Source organism: Homo sapiens, chromosome X, assembly GCF_000001405.40.
Source record: "Homo sapiens chromosome X, GRCh38.p14 Primary Assembly".
NCBI lineage: Eukaryota > Metazoa > Chordata > Mammalia > Primates > Hominidae > Homo > Homo sapiens.
The window spans coordinates 62084930-62107293 of NC_000023.11; the positions used below are offsets into that span (position 1 = coordinate 62084930).

The window sequence follows — 22364 nt, forward strand, 5'->3', positions numbered from 1 at the left end:
ATGTTTGTATTCAACTGCCAGATTTGAACTTTCCTTTTGAAAGAGCAGCTATGAAACACTCTTTTTCGAGAATCTGCAAGTGGACGCTTGGAGGGCTTTGAGGCCTGTGGTGGAAAAGGAAATATCTTCACATAAAAACTAGATAGAAGCATTCTCAGAAACGACTTTGTGAGGATGGCATTCAACTCATGGAGTTGAACAATCCTATTGATAGAGCAGATTGGAATCACTCTTTTTGTAGAATCTGCAAATGGAGATTTGGACTGCTTTGAGGCCTACGGTCGTATAGGAAGGAACTTCATATAAAAGGCAAACGGAAGCATTCTAAGAATATTCTTTATGATGATGGAGTTTCACTCACAGAGCTGAACATGCCTTTTGATGGAGCAGTTTCCAAATACACTTTTGGTAGAATCTGCAGGTGGATATTTGGAGCTCTCTGAGGATTTCGTTGGAAACGGGAATAATTTCCCATAACTAAACACAAACACGCTGAGAAAGTTCTTCATGATGAATGCATTTAACTCGCAGAGATGAACCTGCCTTTGAGAGTTCAGGTTCGAAACACTCCTTCTGTAGAATCTGCAAGTGGATATTTGGACCACTGGCTGGCCTTCGTTCGAAACGGGTATATGTTCACGTAAAAACTAAAGAGAAGCATTCTCAGAAACTTCTGAGTGATGATTGCATTCAAGTCACACAGTTGAACCCTCCTTTTGATGGAGCAGTTTTGAAACTGTCTTTTTGTAGAATCTGTAAGTGGATACGTGGACCTCTTTGAAGATTTCTTTGGAAACGGGAATATTTCCACAGAAAAACTAAACTGAAACATTCTCAAAAACCGCTTTGTGATGTTTGTGTTCGAGCCACAGAGTTTAACATTGCTTTTCATAGAGCAGTTTTGAAATATTCTTTTCGCAGAATCTGCAAGTGGACATTTGGAGTGCTTTCAGGCCTGTGGTGGCAAAGGCCTGAAAGCCTTTTCCTTTATCTTCACAGAAAGACGAGAGAGAAGCATTGTCAGAAACTTCTTTGTGATGATTGCATTCAACTCACAGAGTTGAAGATTCCTTTTGAAACAGCAGTTTCGAAACACTCTTTCTGTGGGATCCGCAAGGGGATATTTGGACCTCTTTGAAGGTTTCGTTGGAAACGGGATAATCTTCTCCTAAAAGCTAAACGGAAGCATTCTCAGAAACTTCTTTGGGATGTTTGCATTCACCTCACAGAGTTGAACTTTCCCTTTGATAGCGCAGCTTTGACACACTTTTTCTACAATGTGCAAGTGGCTATTTAGCGGGCTTGGAGGACTGTGTTGGAAAAGGAAATATCTTCTCCTAAAAACGACATAGAAGCATTCTCAGAAACTGCTCTGTGATGATTGCATTCAACTCCCAGAGTTGAACATTCCTTTTGATAGAGCAGTTTGCAAACACTCTTTTTGTAGAATCTGCAAGTGGAGATTTGGACCGCTTTGAGGCCTGTGGTAGTGAAGGAAAGAACTTCATATAAAAACCAGACGGTAGCACTCTCAGAAAATTCTTTGTGACGATGGAGTTTAACTCAGGGAGCTGAACATTCGTTATGATGGAGCAGTTTCCAAACACACGTTTTGTAGAATCTGCGAGGGGATATTTGGACCTCTCTGAGGATTTCGTTGGAAACGGGATCAACTTCCCATAACTGAACGGAAGCAAACTCAGAACATTCTTTGTGATGTTTGTATTCAACTCACAGAGTTGAACCTTCCTTTGATAGTTCAGGTTTGCAACACCCTTGTAGTAGAATCTGCAAGTGTATATTTTGACCACTTTGTAGCCTTCGTTTGAAACGTCTATATCTTCACATCAAACCTAGAAAGAAGCATTCTCAGAAAGTTTTCTGCGATGACTGCATACAACTCATAGAGTTGAGTAATCCTTTTGATGGAGCAGTTTTGAAACCCTCTTTCTTTGGAATCTGCAAGGGGATATGTGGACCTCTTTCAAGATTTCACTGGAAACGGGATCATCTTCACATAAGAACTAAACAGAAGCATTCTCGGAAACTACTTTGTGAGGTTTGTATTCAACTCCCAGAGTTGAACTTTCCTTTTGAAAGAGCAGCTATGAAACACTCTTTTTCGAGAATCTGCAAGTGGACGTTTGGAGGGCTTTGAGGCCTGTGGTGGAAAAGGAAATATCTTCACATAAAAACTAGATAGAAGCATTCTCAGAAACGACTTTGTGAGGATGGCATTCAACTCATGGAGTTGAACAATCCTATTGATAGAGCAGATTGGAATCACTCTTTTTGTAGAATCTGCAAATGGAGATTTGGACTGCTTTGAGGCCTACGGTCGTATAGGAAGGAACTTCATATAAAAGGCAAACGGAAGCATTCTCAGTATATTCTTTGTGATGATGGAGTTTCACTCACAGAGCTGAACATGCCTTTTGATGGAGCAGTTTCCAAATACACTTTTGGTAGAATCTGCAGGTGGATATTTGGACCTCTCTGAGGATTTCGTTGGAAACGGGAATAATTTCCCATAACTAAACACAAACACTCTGAGAAAGTTCTTCATGATGAATGCATTTAACTCGCAGAGATGAACCTGCCTTTGAGAGTTCATGTTCGAAACACTCTTTCTGTAGAATCTGCAAGTGGATATTTGGACCACTGGCTGGCCTTCGTTCGAAACGGGTATATGTTCACGAAAAAACTAAAGAGAAGCATTCTCAGAAACTTCTGAGTGATGATTGCATTCAAGTCACACAGTTGAACCCTCCTTTTGATGGAGCAGTTTTGAAACTGTCTTTTTGTAGAATCTGTAAGTGGATACGTGGACCTCTTTGAAGATTTCTTTGGAAACGGGAATATTTCCACAGAAAAACTAAACTGAAGCATTCTCAGAAACCGCTTTGTGATGTTTGTGTTCGAGCCACAGAGTTTAACATTGCTTTTCATAGAGCAGTTTTGAAATATTCTTTTGGCAGAATCTGCAAGTGGACATTTGGAGCGCTTTCAGGCCTGTGGTGGAAAAGGCCTGAAAGCCTTTTCCTTTATCTTCACAGAAAGACGAGAGAGAAGCATTGTCAGAAACTTCTTTGTGATGATTGCATTCAACCCACAGAGTTGAAGATTCCTTTTGAAACAGCAGTTTCGAAACACTCTTTCTGTGGGATCCGCAAGGGGATATTTGGACCTCTTTGAAGGTTTCGTTGGAAACGGGATAATCTTCACCTAAAAGCTAAACGGAAGCATTCTCAGAAACTTCTTTGGGATGTTTGCATTCACCTCACAGAGTTGAACTTTCCCTTTGATAGCGCAGCTTTGACACACTTTTTCTACAATGTGCAAGTGGCTATTTAGCGGGCTTGGAGGACTGTGTTGGAAAAGGAAATATCTTCTCCTAAAAACGACATAGAAGCATTCTCAGAAACTGCTCTGTGATGATTGCATTCAACTCCCAGAGTTGAACATTCCTTTTGATAGAGCAGTTTGCAAACACTCTTTTTGTAGAATCTGCAAGTGGAGATTTGGACCGCTTTGAGGCCTGTGGTAGTGAAGGAAAGAACTTCATATAAAAACCAGACGGTAGCACTCTCAGAAAATTCTTTGTGACGATGGAGTTTAACTCAGAGAGCTGAACATTCGTTATGATGGAGCAGTTTCCAAACACACGTTTTGTAGAATCTGCAAGGGGATATTTGGACCTCTCTGAGGATTTCGTTGGAAATGGGATCAACTTCCCATAACTGAACGGAAGCAAACTCAGAACATTCTTTGTGATGTTTGTATTCAACTCACAGAGTTGAACCTTCCTTTGATAGTTCAGGTTTGCAACACCCTTGTAGTAGAATCTGCAAGTGTATATTTTGACCACTTTGTAGCCTTCGTTTGAAACGTCTATATCTTCACCTCAAACCTAGACAGAAGCATTCTCAGAAAGTTTTCTGCGATGACTGCATTCAACTCACAGAGTTGAACAATCCTTTTGATGGAGCAGTTTTGAAACCCTCTTTCTTTGGAATCTGCAAGGGGATATGTGGACCTCTTTGAAGATTTCACTGGAAACGGGATCATCTTCACATAAGAACTAAACAGAAGCATTCTCGGAAACTACTTTGTGATGTTTGTATTCAACTCCCAGAGTTGAACTTTCCTTTTGAAAGAGCAGCTATGAAACACTCTTTTTCGAGAATCTGCAAGTGGACGTTTGGAGGGCTTTGAGGCCTGTGGTGGAAAAGGAAATATCTTCACATAAAAACTAGATAGAAGCATTCTCAGAAACGACTTTGTGAGGATGGCATTCAACTCATGGAGTTGAACAATCCTATTGATAGAGCAGATTGGAATCACTCTTTTTGTAGAATCTGCAAATGGAGATTTGCACTGCTTTGAGGCCTACGGTCGTATAGGAAGGAACTTCATATAAAAGGCAAACGGAAGCATTCTCAGAATATTCTTTGTGATGATGGAGTTTCATTCACAGAGCTGAACATGCCTGTTGATGGAGCAGTTTCCAAATACACTTTTGGTAGAATCTGCAGGTGGATATTTGGAGCTCTCTGAGGATTTCGTTGGAAACGGGAATAATTTCCCATAACTAAACACAAACACTCTGAGAAAGTTCTTCATGATGAATGCATTCAACTCGCAGAGATGAACCTGCCTTTGAGAGTTCAGGTTCGAAACACTCTTTCTGTAGAATCTGCAAGTGGATATTTGGACCACTGGGTGGCCTTCGTTCGAAACGGGTATATGTTCACGTAAAAACTAAAGAGAAGCATTCTCAGAAACTTCTGAGTGATGATTGCATTCAAGTCACACAGTTGAACCCTCCTTTTGATGGAGCAGTTTTGAAACTGTCTTTTTGTAGAATCTGTAAGTGGATACGTGGACCTCTTTGAAGATTTCTTTGGAAACGGGAATATTTCCACAGAAAAACTAAACTGAAGCATTCTCAGAAACTGCTTTGTGATGTTTGTGTTCGAGCCACAGAGTTTAACATTGCTTTTCATAGAGCAGTTTTGAAATATTCTTTTGGCAGAATCTGCAAGTGGACATTTGGAGCGCTTTCAGGCCTGTGGTGGAAAAGGCCTGAAAGCCTTTTCCTTTATCTTCACAGAAAGACGAGAGAGAAGCATTGTCAGAAACTTCTTTGTGATGATTGCATTCAACCCACAGAGTTGAAGATTCCTTTTGAAACAGCAGTTTCGAAACACTCTTTCTGTGGGATCCGCAAGGGGATATTTGGACCTCTTTGAAGGTTTCGTTGGAAACGGGATAATCTTCACCTAAAAGCTAAACGGAAGCATTCTCAGAAACTTCTTTGGGATGTTTGCATTCACCTCTCAGAGTTGAACTTTCCCTTTGATAGCGCAGCTTTGACACACTTTTTCTACAATGTGCAAGTGGCTATTTAGCGGGCTTGGAGGACTGTGTTGGAAAAGGAAATATCTTCTCCTAAAAACGACATAGAAGCATTCTCAGAAACTGCTCTGTGATGATTGCATTCAACTCCCAGAGTTGAACATTCCTTTTGATAGAGCAGTTTGCAAACACTCTTTTTGTAGAATCTGCAAGTGGAGATTTGGACCGCTTTGAGGCCTGTGGTAGTGAAGGAAAGAACTTCATATAAAAACCAGACGGTAGCACTCTCAGAAAATTCTTTGTGACGATGGAGTTTAACTCAGAGAGCTGAACATTCGTTATGATGGAGCAGTTTCCAAACACACGTTTTGTAGAATCTGCAAGGGGATATTTGGACCTCTCTGAGGATTTCATTGGAAACGGGATCAACTTCCCATAACTGAACGGAAGCAAACTCAGAACATTCTTTGTGATGTTTGTATTCAATTCACAGAGTTGAACCTTCCTTTGATAGTTCAGGTTTGCAACACCCTTGTAGTAGAATCTGCAAGTGTATATTTTGACCACTTTGTAGCCTTCGTTTGAAACGTCTATATCTTCACATCAAACCTAGACAGAAGCATTCTCAGAAAGATTTCTGCGATGACTGCATTGAACTCACAGAGTTGAACAATCCTTCTGATGGAGCAGTTTTTAAACCCTCTTTCTTTGGAATCTGCAAGGGGATATGTGGACCTCTTTGAAGATTTCACTGGAAACGGGATCATCTTCACATAAAAACTAAACAGAAGCATTCTCGGAAACTACTTTGTGATGTTTGTATTCAACTCCCAGAGTTGAACTTTCCTTTTGAAAGAGCAGCTATAAAACACTCTTTTTCGAGAATCTGCAAGTGGACGTTTGGAGGGCTTTGAGGCCTGTGGTGGAAAAGGAAATATCTTCACATAAAAACTAGATAGAAGCATTCTCAGAAACGAGTTTGTGAGGATGGCATTCAACTCATGGAGTTGAACAATCCTATTGATAGAGCAGATTGGAATCACTCTTTTTGTAGAATCTGCAAATGGAGATTTGGACTGCTTTGAGGCCTACGGTCGTATAGGAAGGAACTTCAGATAAAAGGCAAACGGAAGCATTCTCAGAATATTCTTTGTGATGATGGAGTTTCACTCACAGAGCTGAACATGCCTTTTGATGGAGCAGTTTCCAAATACACTTTTGGTAGAATCTGCAGGTGGATATTTGGACCACTCTGAGGATTTCGTTGGAAACGGGAATAATTTCCCATAACTAAACACAAACACTCTGAGAAAGTTCTTCATGATGAATGCATTTAACTCGCAGAGATGAACCTGCCTTTGAGAGTTCAGGTTCGAAACACTCTTTCTGTATAATCTGCAAGTGGATATTTGGACCACTGGGTGGCCTTCGTTCGAAACGGGTATATGTTCACGTAAAAACTAAAGAGAAGCATTCTCAGAAACTTCTGAGTGATGATTGCATTCAAGTCACACAGTTGAACCCTCCTTCTGATGGAGCAGTTTTGAAACTGTCTTTTTGTAGAATCTGTAAGTGGATGCGTGGACCTCTTTGAAGATTTCTTTGGAAACGGGAATATTTCCACAGAAAAACTAAACTGAAGCATTCTCAGAAACTGCTTTGTGATGTTTGTGTTCGAGCCACAGAGTTTAACATTGCTTTTCATAGAGCAGTTTTGAAATATTCTTTTCGCAGAATTTGCAAGTGGACATTTGGAGCGTTTTCAGGCCTGTGGTGGCAAAGGCCTGAAAGCCTTTTCCTTTATCTTCACAGAAAGACGAGAGAGAAGCATTGTCAGAAACTTCTTTGTGATGATTGCATTCAACTCACAGAGTTGAAGATTCCTTTTGAAACAGCAGTTTCGAAACACTCTTTCTGTGGGATCCGCAAGGGGATATTTGGACTTCTTTGAAGGTTTCGTTGGAAACGGGATAATCTTCACCTAAAAGCTAAACGGAAGCACTCTCAGAAACTTCTTTGGGATGTTTGCATTCACCTCACAGAGTTGAACTTTCCCTTTGATAGCGCAGCTTTGACACACTTTTTCTACAATGTGCAAGTGGCTATTTAGCGGGCTTGGAGGACTGTGTTGGAAAAGGAAATATCTTCTCCTAAAAACGACATAGAAGCATTCTCAGAAACTGCTCTGTGATGATTGCATTCAACTCCCAGAGTTGAACATTCCTTTTGATAGAGCAGTTTGCAAACACTCTTTTTGTAGAATCTGCAAGTGGAGATTTGGACCGCTTTGAGGCCTGTGGTAGTGAAGGAAAGAACTTCATATAAAAACCAGACGGTAGCACTCTCAGAAAATTCTTTGTGACGATGGAGTTTAACTCAGGGAGCTGAACATTCGTTATGATGGAGCAGTTTCCAAACACACGTTTTGTAGAATCTGCAAGGGGATATTTGGACCTCTCTGAGGATTTCGTTGGAAACGGGATCAACTTCCCATAACTGAACGGAAGCAAACTCAGAACATTCTTTGTGATGTTTGTATTCAACTCACAGAGTTGAACCTTCCTTTGATAGTTCAGGTTTGCAACACCCTTGTAGTAGAATCTGCAAGTGTATATTTTGACCACTTTGTAGCCTTCATTTGAAACGTCTATATCTTCACATCAAACCTAGACAGAAGCATTCTCAGAAAGTTTTCTGCGATGACTGCATTCAACTCACAGAGTTGAACAATCCTTTTGATGGAGCAGTTTTGAAACCCTCTTTCTTTGGAATCTGCAAGGGGATATGTGGACCTCTTTGAAGATTTCACTGGAAACGGGATCATCTTCACATAAGAACTAAACAGAAGCATTCTCAGAAACTACTTTGTGATGTTTGTATTCAACTCCCAGAGTTGAACTTTCCTTTTGAAAGAGCAGCTATGAAACACTCTTTTTCGAGAATCTGCAAGTGGACGTTTGGAGGGCTTTGAGGCCTGTGGTGGAAAAGGAAATATCTTCACATAAAAACTAGATAGAAGCATTCTCACAAACGACTTTGTGAGGATGGCATTCAAATCATGGAGTTCAACAATCCTATTGATAGAGCAGATTGGAATCACTCTTTTTGTAGAATCTGCAAATGGAGATTTGGACTGCTTTGAGGCCTACGGTAGTATAGGAAGGAACTTCATATAAAAGGCAAACGGAAGCATTCTCAGAATATTCTTTGTGCTGATGGAGTTTCACTCACAGAGCTGAACATGCCTTTTGATGGAGCAGTTTCCAAATACACTTTTGGTAGAATCTGCAGGTGGATATTTGGAGCTCTCTGAGGATTTCGTTGGAAACGGGAATAATTTCCCATAACTAAACAGAAACACTCTGAGAAAGTTCTTCATGATGAATGCATTTAACTCGCAGAGATGAACCTGCCTTTGAGAGTTCAGGTTCGAAACACTCTTTCTGTAGAATCTGCAAGTGGATATTTGGACCACTGGGTGGCCTTCGTTCGAAACGGGTATATGTTCACGTAAAAACTAAAGAGAAGCATTCTCAGAAACTTCTGAGTGATGATTGCATTCAAGTCACACAGTTGAACCCTCCTTTTGATGGAGCAGTTTTGAAACTGTCTTTTTGTAGAGTCTGTAAGTGGATACGTGGACCTCTTTGAAGATTTCTTTGGAAACGGGAATATTTCCACAGAAAAACTAAACTGAAGCATTCTCAGAAACTGCTTTGTGATGTTTGTGTTCGAGCCACAGAGTTTAACATTGCTTTTCATAGAGCAGTTTTGAAATATTCTTTTCGCAGAATCTGCAAGTGGACATTTGGAGCGCTTTCAGGCCTGTGGTGGCAAAGGCCTGAAAGCCTTTTCCTTTATCTTCACAGAAAGACGAGAGAGAAGCATTGTCAGAAACTTCTTTGTGATGATTGCATTCAACTCACAGAGTTGAAGATTCCTTTTGAAACAGCAGTTTCGAAACACTCTTTCTGTGGGATCCGCAAGGGGATATTTGGACCTCTTTGAAGGTTTCGTTGGAAACGGGATAATCTTCACCTAAAAGCTAAACGGAAGCATTCTCAGAAACTTCTTTGGGATGTTTGCATTCACCTCACAGAGTTGAACTTTCCCTTTGATAGCGCAGCTTTGACACACTTTTTCTACAATGTGCAAGTGGCTATTTAGCGGGCTTGGAGGACTGTGTTGGAAAAGGAAATATCTTCTCCTAAAAACGACATAGAAGCATTCTCAGAAACTGCTCTGTGATGATTGCATTCAACTCCCAGAGTTGAACATTCCTTTTGATAGAGCAGTTTGCAAACACTCTTTTTGTAGAATCTGCAAGTGGAGATTTGGACCGCTTTGAGGCCTGTGGTAGTGAAGGAAAGAACTTCATATAAAAACCAGACGGTAGCACTCTCAGAAAATTCTTTGTGACGATGGAGTTTAACTCAGGGAGCTGAACATTCGTTATGATGGAGCAGTTTCCAAACACACGTTTTGTAGAATCTGCAAGTGGATATTTGGACCTCTCTGAGGATTTCGTTGGAAACGGGATCAACTTCCCATAACTGAACGGAAGCAAACTCAGAACATTCTTTGTGATGTTTGTATTCAACTCACAGAGTTGAACCTTCCTTTCATAGTTCAGGTTTGCAACACCCTTGTAGTAGAATCTGCAAGTGTATATTTTGACCACTTTGTAGCCTTCGTTTGAAACGTCTATATCTTCACATCAAACCTAGACAGAAGCATTCTCAGAAAGTTTTCTGCGATGACTGCATTCAACTCACAGAGTTGAACAATCCTTCTGATGGAGCAGTTTTGAAACCCTCTTTCTTTGGAATCTGCAAGGGGATATGTGGACCTCTTTGAAGATTTCACTGGAAACGGGATCATCTTCACATAAAAACTAAACAGAAGCATTCTCGGAAACTAGTTTGTGATGTTTGTATTCAACTCCCAGAGTTGAACTTTCCTTTTGAAAGAGCAGCTATGAAACACTCTTTTTCGAGAATCTGCAAGTGGACGTTTGGAGGGCTTTGAGGTCTGTGGTGGAAAAGGAAATATCTTCACACAAAAACCAGATAGAAGCATTCTCAGAAACGACTTTGTGAGGATGGCATTCAACTCATGGAGTTGAACAATCCTATTGATAGAGCAGATTGGAATCACTCTTTTTGTAGAATCTGCAAATGGAGATTTGGACTGCTTTGAGGCCTACGGTCGTATAGGAAGGAACTTCATATAAAAGGCAAACGGAAGCATTCTCAGAATATTCTTTGTGATGATGGAGTTTCACTCACAGAGCTGAACATGCCTTTTGATGGAGCAGTTTCCAAATACACTTTTGGTAGAATCTGCAGGTGGATATTTGGAGCTCTCTGAGGATTTCGTTGGAAACTGGAATAATTTCCCATAACTAAACACAAACACGCTGAGAAAGTTCTTCATGATGAATGCATTTAACTCGCAGAGATGAACCTGCCTTTGAGAGTTCAGGTTCGAAACACTCTTTCTGTAGAATCTGCAAGTGGATATTTGGACCACTGGCTGGCCTTCGTTCGAAACGGGTATATGTTCACGTAAAAACTAAAGAGAAGCATTCTCAGAAACTTCTGAGTGATGATTGCATTCAAGTCACACAGTTGAACCCTCCTTTTGATGGAGCAGTTTTGAAACTGTCTTTTTGTAGAATCTGTAAGTGGATACGTGGACCTCTTTGAAGATTTCTTTGGAAACGGGAATATTTCCACAGAAAAACTAAACTGAAGCATTCTCAGAAACTGCTTTGTGATGTTTGTGTTCGAGCCACAGAGTTTAACATTGCTTTTCATAGAGCAGTTTTGAAATATTCTTTTGGCAGAATCTGCAAGTGGACATTTGGAGCGCTTTCAGGCCTGTGGTGGAAAAGGCCTGAAAGCCTTTTCCTTTATCTTCACAGAAAGACGAGAGAGAAGCATTGTCAGAAACTTCTTTGTGATGATTGCATTCAACTCACAGAGTTGAAGATTCCTTTTGAAACAGCAGTTTCGAAACACTCTTTCTGTGGGATCCGCAAGGGGATATTTGGACCTCTTTGAAGGTTTCGTTGGAAACGGGATAATCTTCACCTAAAAGCTAAACGGAAGCACTCTCAGAAACTTCTTTGGGATGTTTGCATTCACCTCTCAGAGTTGAACTTTCCCTTTGATAGCGCAGCTTTGACACACTTTTTCTACAATGTGCAAGTGGCTATTTAGCGGGCTTGGAGGACTGTGTTGGAAAAGGAAATATCTTCTCCTAAAAACGACATAGAAGCATTCTCAGAAACTGCTCTGTGATGATTGCATTCAACTCCCAGAGTTGAACATTCCTTTTGATAGAGCAGTTTGCAAACACTCTTTTTGTAGAATCTGCAAGTGGAGATTTGGACCGCTTTGAGGCCTGTGGTAGTAAAGGAAAGAACTTCATATAAAAACTAGACGGTAGCACTCTCAGCAAAATTCTTTGTGACGATGGAGTTTAACTCAGGGAGCTGAACATTCGTTATGATGGAGCAGTTTCCAAACACACGTTTTGTAGAATCTGCAAGGGGATATTTGGACCTCTCTGAGGATTTCGCTGGAAACGGGATCAACTGCCCATAACTGAACGGAAGCAAACTCAGAACATTCTTTGTGATGTTTGTATTCAACTCACAGAGTTGAACCTTCCTTTGATAGTTCAGGTTTGCATCACCCTTGTAGTAGAATCTGCAAGTGTATATGTTGACCACTTTGTAGCCTTCGTTTGAAACGTCTATATCTTCACATCAAACCTAGACAGAAGCATTCTCAGAAAGTTTTCTGCGATGACTGCATTCAACTCACAGAGTTGAACAATCCTTTTGATGGAGCAGTTTTGAAACCCTCTTTCTTTGGAATCTGCAAGGTGATATGTGGACCTCTTTGAAGATTTCACTGGAAACGGGATCATCTTCACATAAGAACTAAACAGAAGCATTCTCGGAAACTACTTTGTGATGTTTGTATTCACCTCCCAGAGTTGAAATTTCCTTTTGAAATAGCAGCTATGAAACACACTTTTTCGAGAATCTGCAAGTGGACGTTTGGAGGGCTTTGAGGCCTGTGGTGGAAAAGGAAATATCTTCACATAAAAACTAGATAGAAGCATTCTCAGAAACGACTTTGTGAGGATGGCATTCAACTCATGGAGTTGAACAATCCTATTGATAGAGCAGATTGGAATCACTCTTTTTGTAGAATCTGCAAATGGAGATTTGGACTGCTTTGAGGCCTACGGTAGTATAGGAAGGAACTTCATATAAAAGGCAAACGGAAGCATTCTCAGAATATTCTTTGTGATGATGGAGTTTCACTCACAGAGCTGAACATGCCTTTTGATGGAGCAGTTTCCAAATACACTTTTGGTAGAATCTGCAGGTGGATATTTGGACCTCTCTGAGGATTTCGTTGGAAACGGGAATAATTTCCCATAACTAAACACAAACACTCTGAGAAAGTTCTTCATGATGAATGCATTTAACTCGCAGAGATGAACCTGCCTTTGAGAGTTCAGGTTCGAAACACTCTTTCTGTAGAATCTGCAAGTGGATATTTGGACCACTGGGTGGCCTTCGTTCGAAACGGGTATATGTTCACGTAAAAACTAAAGAGAAGCATTCTCAGAAACTTCTGAGTGATGATTGCATTCAAGTCACACAGTTGAACCCTCCTTTTGATGGAGCAGTTTTGAAACTGTCTTTTTGTAGAATCTGTAAGTGGATACGTGGACCTCTTTGAAGATTTCTTTGGAAACGGGAATATTTCCACAGAAAAACTAAACTGAAGCATTCTCAGAAACCGCTTTGTGATGTTTGTGTTCGAGCCGCAGAGTTTAACATTGCTTTTCATAGAGCAGTTTTGAAATATTCTTTTCGCAGAATCTGCAAGTGGACATTTGGAGCTGCTTTCAGGCCTGTGGTGGAAAAGGCCTGAAAGCCTTTTCCTTTATCTTCACAGAAAGACGAGAGAGAAGCATTGTCAGAAACTTCTTTGTGATGATTGCATTCAACTCACAGAGTTGATTTTCCTTTTGAAACAGCAGTTTCGAAACACTCTTTCTGTGGGATCCGCAAGGGGATATTTGGACCTCTTTGAAGGTTTCGTTGGAAACGGGATAATCTTCACCTAAAAGCTAAACGGAAGCATTCTCAGAAACTTCTTTGGGATGTTTGCATTCACCTCACAGAGTTGAACTTTCCCTTTGATAGCGCAGCTTTGACACACTTTTTCTACAATGTGCAAGTGGCTATTTAGCGGGCTTGGAGGACTGTGTTGGAAAAGGAAATATCTTCTCCTAAAAACGACATAGAAGCATTCTCAGAAACTGCTCTGTGATGATTGCATTCAACTCCCAGAGTTGAACATTCCTTTTGATAGAGCAGTTTGCAAACACTCTTTTTGTAGAATCTGCAAGTGGAGATTTGGACCGCTTTGAGGCCTGTGGTAGTGAAGGAAAGAACTTCATATAAAAACCAGACGGTAGCACTCTCAGAAAATTCTTTGTGACGATGGAGTTTAACTCAGGGAGCTGAACATTCGTTATGATGGAGCAGTTTCCAAACACACGTTTTGTAGAATCTGCGAGGGGATATTTGGACCTCTCTGAGGATTTCGTTGGAAAAGGGATCAACTTCCCATAACTGAACGGAAGCAAACTCAGAACATTCTTTGTGATGTTTGTATTCAACTCACAGAGTTGAACCTTCCTTTGATAGTTCAGGTTTGCAACACCCTTGTAGTAGAATCTGCAAGTGTATATTTTGACCACTTTGTAGCCTTCGTTTGAAACGTCTATATCTTCACATCAAACCTAGAAAGAAGCATTCTCAGAAAGTTTTCTGCGATGACTGCATTCAACTCACAGAGTTGAACAATCCTTTTGATGGAGCAGTTTTGAAACCCTCTTTCTTTGGAATCTGCAAGGGGATATGTGGACCTCTTTGAAGATTTCACTGGAAACGGGATCATCTTCACATAAGAACTAAACAGAAGCATTCTCGGAAACTACTTTGTGATGTTTGTATTCAACTCCCAGAGTTGAACTTTCCTTTTGAAAGAGCAGCTATGAAACACTCTTTTTCGAGAATCTGCAAGTGGACGTTTGGAGGGCTTTGAGGCCTGTGGTGGAAAAGGAAATATCTTCACATAAAAACTAGATAGAAGCATTCTCAGAAACGACTTTGTGAGGATGGCATTCAACTCATGGAGTTGAACAATCCTATTGATAGAGCAGAATGGAATCACTCTTTTTGTAGAATCTGCAAATGGAGATTTGGACTGCTTTGAGGCCTACGGTAGTATAGGAAGGAACTTCATATAAAAGGCAAACGGAAGCATTCTCAGAATATTCTTTGTGACGATGGAGTTTCACTCACAGAGCTGAACATGCCTTTTGATGGAGCAGTTTCCAAATACACTTTTGGTAGAATCTGCAGGTGGATATTTGGACCTCTCTGAGGATTTCGTTGGAAACGGGAATAATTTCCCATACCTAAACACAAACACTCTGAGAACGTTCTTCATGATGAATGCATTTAACTCGCAGAGATGAACCTGCCTTTGAGAGTTCAGGTTCGAAACACTCTTTCTGTAGAATCTGCAAGTGGATATTTGGACCACTGGGTGGCCTTCGTTCGAAACGGGTATATGTTCACGTAAAAACTAAAGAGAAGCATTCTCAGAAACTTCTGAGTGATGATTGCATTCAAGTCACACAGTTGAACCCTCCTTTTGATGGAGCAGTTTTGAAACTGTCTTTTTGTAGAATCTGTAAGTGGATACGTGGACCTCTTTGAAGATTTCTTTGGAAACGGGAATATTTCCACAGAAAAACTAAACTGAAGCATTCTCAGAAACCGCTTTGTGATGTTTGTGTTCGAGCCACAGAGTTTAACATTGCTTTTCACAAAGCAGTTTTGAAATATTCTTTTGGCAGAATCTGCAAGTGGACATTTGGAGCGCTTTCAGGCCTGTGGTGGCAAAGGCCTGAAAGCATTTATTTATCTTCACAGAAAGACGAGAGAGAAGCATTGTCAGAAACTTCTTTGTGATGATTGCATTCAACTCACAGAGTTGAAGATTCCTTTTGAAACAGCAGTTTCGAAACACTCTTTCTGTGGGATCCGCAAGGGGATATTTGGACTTCTTTGAAGGTTTCGTTGGAAACGGGATAATCTTCACCTAAAAGCTAAACGGAAGCACTCTCAGAAACTTCTTTGGGATGTTTGCATTCACCTCTCAGAGTTGAACTTTCCCTTTGATAGCGCAGCTTTGACACACTTTTTCTACAATGTGCAAGTGGCTATTTAGCGGACTTGGAGGACTGTGTTGGAAAAGGAAATATCTTCTCCTAAAAACGACATAGAAGCATTCTCAGAAACTGCTCTGTGATGATTGCATTCAACTCCCAGAGTTGAACATTCCTTTTGATAGAGCAGTTTGCAAACACTCTTTTTGTAGAATCTGCAAGTGGAGATTTGGACCGCTTTGAGGCCTGTGGTAGTAAAGGAAAGAACTTCATATAAAAACCAGACGGTAGCACTCTCAGAAAATTCTTTGTGACGATGGAGTTTAACTCAGAGAGCTGAACATTCGTTATGATGGAGCAGTTTCCAAACACACGTTTTGTAGAATCTGCAAGGGGATATTTGGACCTCTCTGAGGATTTCGTTGGAAACGGGATCAACTTCCCATAACTGAACGGTAGCAAACTCAGAACATTCTTTGTGATGTTTGTATTCAACTCACAGAGTTGAACCTTCCTTTGATAGTTCAGGTTTGCAACACCCTTGTAGTAGAATCTGCAAGTGTATATTTTGACCACTTTGTAGCCTTCGTTTGAAACGTCTATATCTTCACCTCAAACCTAGACAGAAGCATTCTCAGAAAGTTTTCTGCGATGACTGCATTCAACTCACAGAGTTGAACAATCCTTTTGATGGAGCAGTTTTGAAACCCTCTTTCTTTGGAATCTGCAAGGGGATATGTGGACCTCTTTGAAGATTTCACTGGAAACGGGATCATCTTCACATAAAAACTAAACAGAAGCATTCTCGGAAACTACTTTGTGATGTTTGTATTCAACTCCCAGAGTTGAACTTTCCTTTTGAAAGAGCAGCTATGAAACACTCTTTTTCGAGAATCTGCAAGTGGACGTTTGGAGGGCTTTGAGGCCTGTGGTGGAAAAGGAAATATCTTCACATAAAAACTAGATAGAAGCATTCTCAGAAACGACTTTGTGAGGATGGCATTCAACTCATGGAGTTGAACAATCCTATTGATAGAGCAGATTGGAATCACTCTTTTTGTAGAATCTGCAAATGGAGATTTGGACTGCTTTGAGGCCTACGGTAGTATAGGAAGGAACTTCATATAAAAGGCAAACGGAAGCATTCTCAGAATATTCTTTGTGATGATGGAGTTTCACTCACAGAGCTGAACATGCCTTTTGATGGAGCAGTTTCCAAATACACTTTTGGTAGAATCTGCAGGTGGATATTTGGAGCTCTCTGAGGATTTCGTTGGAAACGGGAATAATTTCCCATAACTAAACACAAACACTCTGAGAAAGTTCTTCATGATGAATGCATTTAACTCGCAGAGATGAACCTGCCTTTGAGAGTTCAGGTTCGAAACACTCTTTCTGTAGAATCTGCAAGTGGATATTTGGACCACTGGGTGGCCTTCGTTCGAAACGGATATATGTTCACGTAAAAACTAAAGAGAAGCATTCTCAGAAACTTCTGAGTGATGATTGCATTCAAGTCGCACAGTTGAACCCGCCTTTTGATTGAGCAGTTTTGAAACTGTCTTTTTGTAGAATCTGTAAGTGGATACGTGGACCTCTTGGAAGATTTCTTTGGAAACGGGAATATTTCCACAGAAAAACTAAACTGAAGCATTCTCAGAAACTGCTTTGTGATGTTGGTGTTCGAGCCGCAGAGTTTAACATTGCTTTTCATAGAGCAGTTTTGAAATATTCTTTTGGCAGAATCTGCAAGTGGACATTTGGAGCGCTTTCAGGCCTGTGGTGGAAAAGGCCTGAAAGCCTTTTCCTTTATCTTCACAGAAAGACGAGAGAGAAGCATTGTCAGAAACTTCTTTGTGATGATTGCATTCAACTCACAGAGTTGAAGATTCCTTTTGTAACAGCAGTTTCGAAACACTCTTTCTGTGGGATCCGCAAGGGGATATTTGGACCTCTTTGAAGATTTCGTTGGAAACGGGATAATCTTCACCTAAAAGCTAAACGGAAGCATTCTCAGAAACTTCTTTGGGATGTTTGCATTCACCTCACAGAGTTGAACTTTCCCTTTGATAGCGCAGCTTCGACACACTTTTTCTACAATGTGCAAGTGGATATTTAGCGGGCTTGGAGGACTGTGTTGGAAAAGGAAATATCTTCTCCTAAAAACGTCATAGAAGCATTCTCAGAAACTGCTCTGTGATGATTGCATTCAACTCCCAGAGTTGAACATTCCTTTTGATAGAGCAATTTGCAAACACTCTTTTTGTAGAATCTGCAAGTGGAGATTTGGACCGCTTTGAGGCCTGTGGTAGTAAAGGAAAGAACTTCATATAAAAAGTAGACGGTAGCACTCTCAGAAAATTTTTTGTGACGATGGAGTTTAACTCAGAGAGCTGAACATTCGTTATGATGGAGCAGTTTCCAAACACACGTTTTGTAGAATCTGCAAGGGGATATTTGGACCTCTCTGAGGATTTCGTTGGAAACGGGATCAACTTCCCATAACTGAACGGAAGCAAACTCAGAACATTCTTTGTGATGTTTGTATTCAACTCACAGAGTTGAACCTTCCTTTGATAGTTCAGGTTTGCAACACCCTTGTAGTAGAATCTGCAAGTGTATATTTTGACCACTTTGTAGCCTTCGTTTGAAACGTCTATATCTTCACATCAAACCTAGACAGAAGCATTCTCAGAAAGTTTTCTGCGATGAGTGCATTCAACTCACAGATTTGAACAATCCTTTTGATGGAGCAGTTTTGAAACCCTCTTTCTTTGGAATCTGCAAGAGGATATGTGGACCTCTTTGAAGATTTCACTGGAAACGGGATCATCTTCACATAAGAACTAAACAGAAGCATTCTCGGAAACTACTTTGTGATGTTTGTATTCAACTCCCAGAGTTGAACTTTCCTTTTGAAAGAGCAGCTATGAAACACTCTTTTTCGAGAATCTGCAAGTGGACGTTTGGAGGGCTTTGAGGCCTGTGGTGGAAAAGGAAATATCTTCACATAAAAACTAGATAGAAGCATTCTCAGAAACGACTTTGTGAGGATGGCATTCAACTCATGGAGTTGAACAATCCTATTGATAGAGCAGATTGGAATCACTCTTTTTGTAGAATCTGCAAATGGAGATTTGGACTGCTTGAGGCCTACGGTCGTATAGGAAGGAACTTCATATAAAAGGCAAACGGAAGCATTCTCAGAATATTCTTTGTGATGATGGAGTTTCACTCACAGAGCTGAACATGCCTTTTGATGGAGCAGTTTCCAAATACACTTTTGGTAGAATCTGCAGGTGGATATTTGGAGCTCTCTGAGGATTTCGTTGGAAACGGGAATAATTTCCCATAACTAAACACAAACACTCTGAGAAAGTTCTTCATGATGAATGCATTTAACTCGCAGAGATGAACCTGCCTTTGAGAGTTCAGGTTCGAAACACTCTTTCTGTAGAATCTGCAAGTGGATATTTGGACCACTGGGTGGCCTTCGTTCGAAACGGGTATATGTTCACAGTAAAAACTAAAGAGAAGCATTCTCAGAAACTTCTGAGTGATGATTGCATTCAAGTCACACGGTTGAACCCTCCTTTTGATGGAGCAGTTTTGAAACTGTCTTTTTGTAGAATCTGTAAGTGGATACGTGGACCTCTTTGAAGATTTCTTTGGAAACGGGAATATTTCCACAGAAAAACTAAACTGAAACATTCTCAGAAACCGCTTTGTGATGTTTGTGTTCCAGCCACAGAGTTTAACATTGCTTTTCATAGAGCAGTTTTGAAATATTCTTTTCGCAGAATCTGCAAGTGGACATTTGGAGCGCTTTCAGGCCTGTGGTGGAACAGGCCTGAAAGCCTTTTCCTTTATCTTCACAGAAAGGCGAGAGAGAAGAAGCATTGTCAGAAACTTCTTTGTGATGATTGCATTCAACTCACAGAGTTGAAGATTCCTTTTGAAACAGCAGTTTCGAAACACTCTTTCTGTGGGATCCGCAAGGGGATATTTGGACTTCTTTGAAGGTTTCGTTGGAAACGGGATAATCTTCACCTAAAAGCTAAACGGAAGCATTCTCAGAAACTTCTTTGGGAAGTTTGCATTCACCTCACAGAGTTGAATTTTCCCTTTGATAGCGCAGCTTCGACACACTTTTTCTACAATGTGCAAGTGGATATTTAGCGGGCTTGGAGGACTGTGTTGGAAAAGGAAATATCTTCTCCTAAAAACGACATAGAAGCATTCTCAGAAACTGCTCTGTGATGATTGCATTCAACTCCCAGAGTTGAACATTCCTTTTGATAGAGCAGTTTGCAAACACTCTTTTTGTAGAATCTGCAAGTGGAGATTTGGACCGCTTTGAGGCCTGTGGTAGTAAAGGAAAGAACTTCATATAAAAACTAGACGGTAGCACTCTCAGAAAATTCTTTGTGACGATGGAGTTTAACTCAGAGAGCTGAACATTCGTTATGATGGAGCAGTTTCCAAACACACGTTTTGCAGAATCTGCAAGGGGATATTTGGACCTCTCTGAGGATTTCGTTGGAAACGGGATCAACTTCCCATAACTGAACGGAAGCAAACTCAGAACATTCTTTGTGATGTTTGTATTCAACTCACAGAGTTGAACCTTCCTTTGATAGTTCAGGTTTGCAACACCCTTGTAGTAGAATCTGCAAGTGTATATTTTGACCACTTTGTAGCCTTCGTTTGAAACGTCTATATCTTCACATCAAACCTAGACAGAAGCATTCTCAGAAAGTTTTATGCGATGACTGCATTCAACTCACAGAGTTGAACAATCCTTCTGATGGAGCAGTTTTGAAACCCTCTTTCTTTGGAATCTGCAAGGGGATATGTGGACCTCTTTGAAGATTTCACTGGAAACGGGATCATCTTCACATAAAAACTAAACAGAAGCATTCTCGGAAACTACTTTGTGATGTTTGTATTCAACTCCCAGAGTTGAACTTTCCTTTTGAAAGAGCAGCTATGAAACACTCTTTTTCGAGAATCTGCAAGTGGACGTTTGGAGGGCTTGGAGGCCTGTGGTGGAAAAGGAAATACCTTCACATAAAAACTAGATAGAAGCATTCTCAGAAACTACTTTGTGAGGATGGCATTCAACTCATGGAGTTGAACAATCCTATTGATAGAGCAGATTGGAATCACTCTTTTTATAGAATCTGCAAATGGAGATTTGGACTGCTTTGAGGCCTACGGTAGTACAGGAAGGAACTTCATATAAAAGGCAAACGGGAAGCATTCTCAGAATATTCTTTGTGATGATGGAGTTTCACTGACAGAGCTGAACATGCCTTTTGATGGAGCAGTTTCCAAATACACTTTTGGTAGAATCTGCAGGTGGATATTTGGAGCTCTCTGAGGATTTCGTTGGAAACGGGAATAATTTCCCATAACTAAACACAAACACGCTGAGAAAGTTCTTCATGATGAATGCATTTAACTCGCAGAGATGAACCTGCCTTTGAGAGTTCAGGTTCGAAACACTCTTTCTGTAGAATCTGCAAGTGGATATTTGGACCACTGGGTGGCCTTCGTTCGAAACGGGTATATGTTCACGTAAAAACTAAAGAGAAGCATTCTCAGAAACTTCTGAGTGATGATTGCATTCAAGTCACACAGTTGAACCCTCCTTTTGATGGAGCAGTTTTGAAACTGTCTTTTTGTAGAATCTGTAAGTGGATACGTGGACCTCTTTGAAGATTTCTTTGGAAACGGGAATATTTCCACAGAAAAACTAAACTGAAGCATTCTCAGAAACTGCTTTGTGATGTTTGTGTTCGAGCGACAGAGTTTAACATTGCTTTTCATAGAGCAGTTTTGAAATATTCTTTTGGCAGAATCTGCAAGTGGACATTTGGAGCGCTTTCAGGCCTGTGGTGGAAAAGGCCTGAAAGCCTTTTCCTTTATCTTCACAGAAAGACGAGAGAGAAGCATTGTCAGAAACTTCTTTGTGATGATTGCATTCAACTCACAGAGTTGAAGATTCCTTTTGAAACAGCAGTTTCGAAACACTCTTTCTGTGGGATCCGCAAGGGGATATTTGGACCTCTTTGAAGGTTTCGTTGGAAACGGGATAATCTTCACCTAAAAGCTAAACGGAAGCATTCTCAGAAACTTCTTTGGGATGTTTGCATTCACCTCACAGAGTTGAACTTTCCCTTTGATAGCGCAGCTTCGACACACTTTTTCTACAATGTGCAAGTGGATATTTAGCGGGCTTGGAGGACTGTGTTGGAAAAGGAAATATCTTCTCCTAAAAACGACATAGAAGCATTCTCAGAAACTGCTCTGTGATGATTGCATTCAACTCCCAGAGTTGAACATTCCTTTTGATAGAGCAGTTTGCAAACACTCTTTTTGTAGAATCTGCAAGTGGAGATTTGGACCACTTTGAGGCCTGTGGTAGTAAAGGAAAGAACTTCATATAAAAACTAGAAGGTATAACATAAACAGTCATTTAACACATATTTTATGTTTTATGTACTATATACTATTATATATTCTTACAATAAAGTAAGCTAGAGAAAAGGAAATGTTATTAAGAAAATCATAAGGAAGAGAAAATATATTTACTATTCATTAAGTGGAAGTGGATTCTCAAAAAGGTCTTTACCCTGGCATTCCCATTGAGTTGGCTGAGGAAGAGTGGGAGGAGGAGGAAGAGGAGGAGGAGGAGGAGGAGGAGGAGAATTTTCTGAGGGTGCTAC

At 40.5% G+C, this 22364-nt stretch overlaps 1 annotated feature.

The window, feature by feature from the left end:
* Window positions 1-22364: part of a centromere (Linear centromere model derived predominantly from reads generated in PMID: 17803354. This region does not represent an actual centromere sequence, as long-range ordering of repeats and unmapped WGS contigs is not provided by the model. For details of model production, see http://arxiv.org/abs/1307.0035.) that runs on past both edges of the window.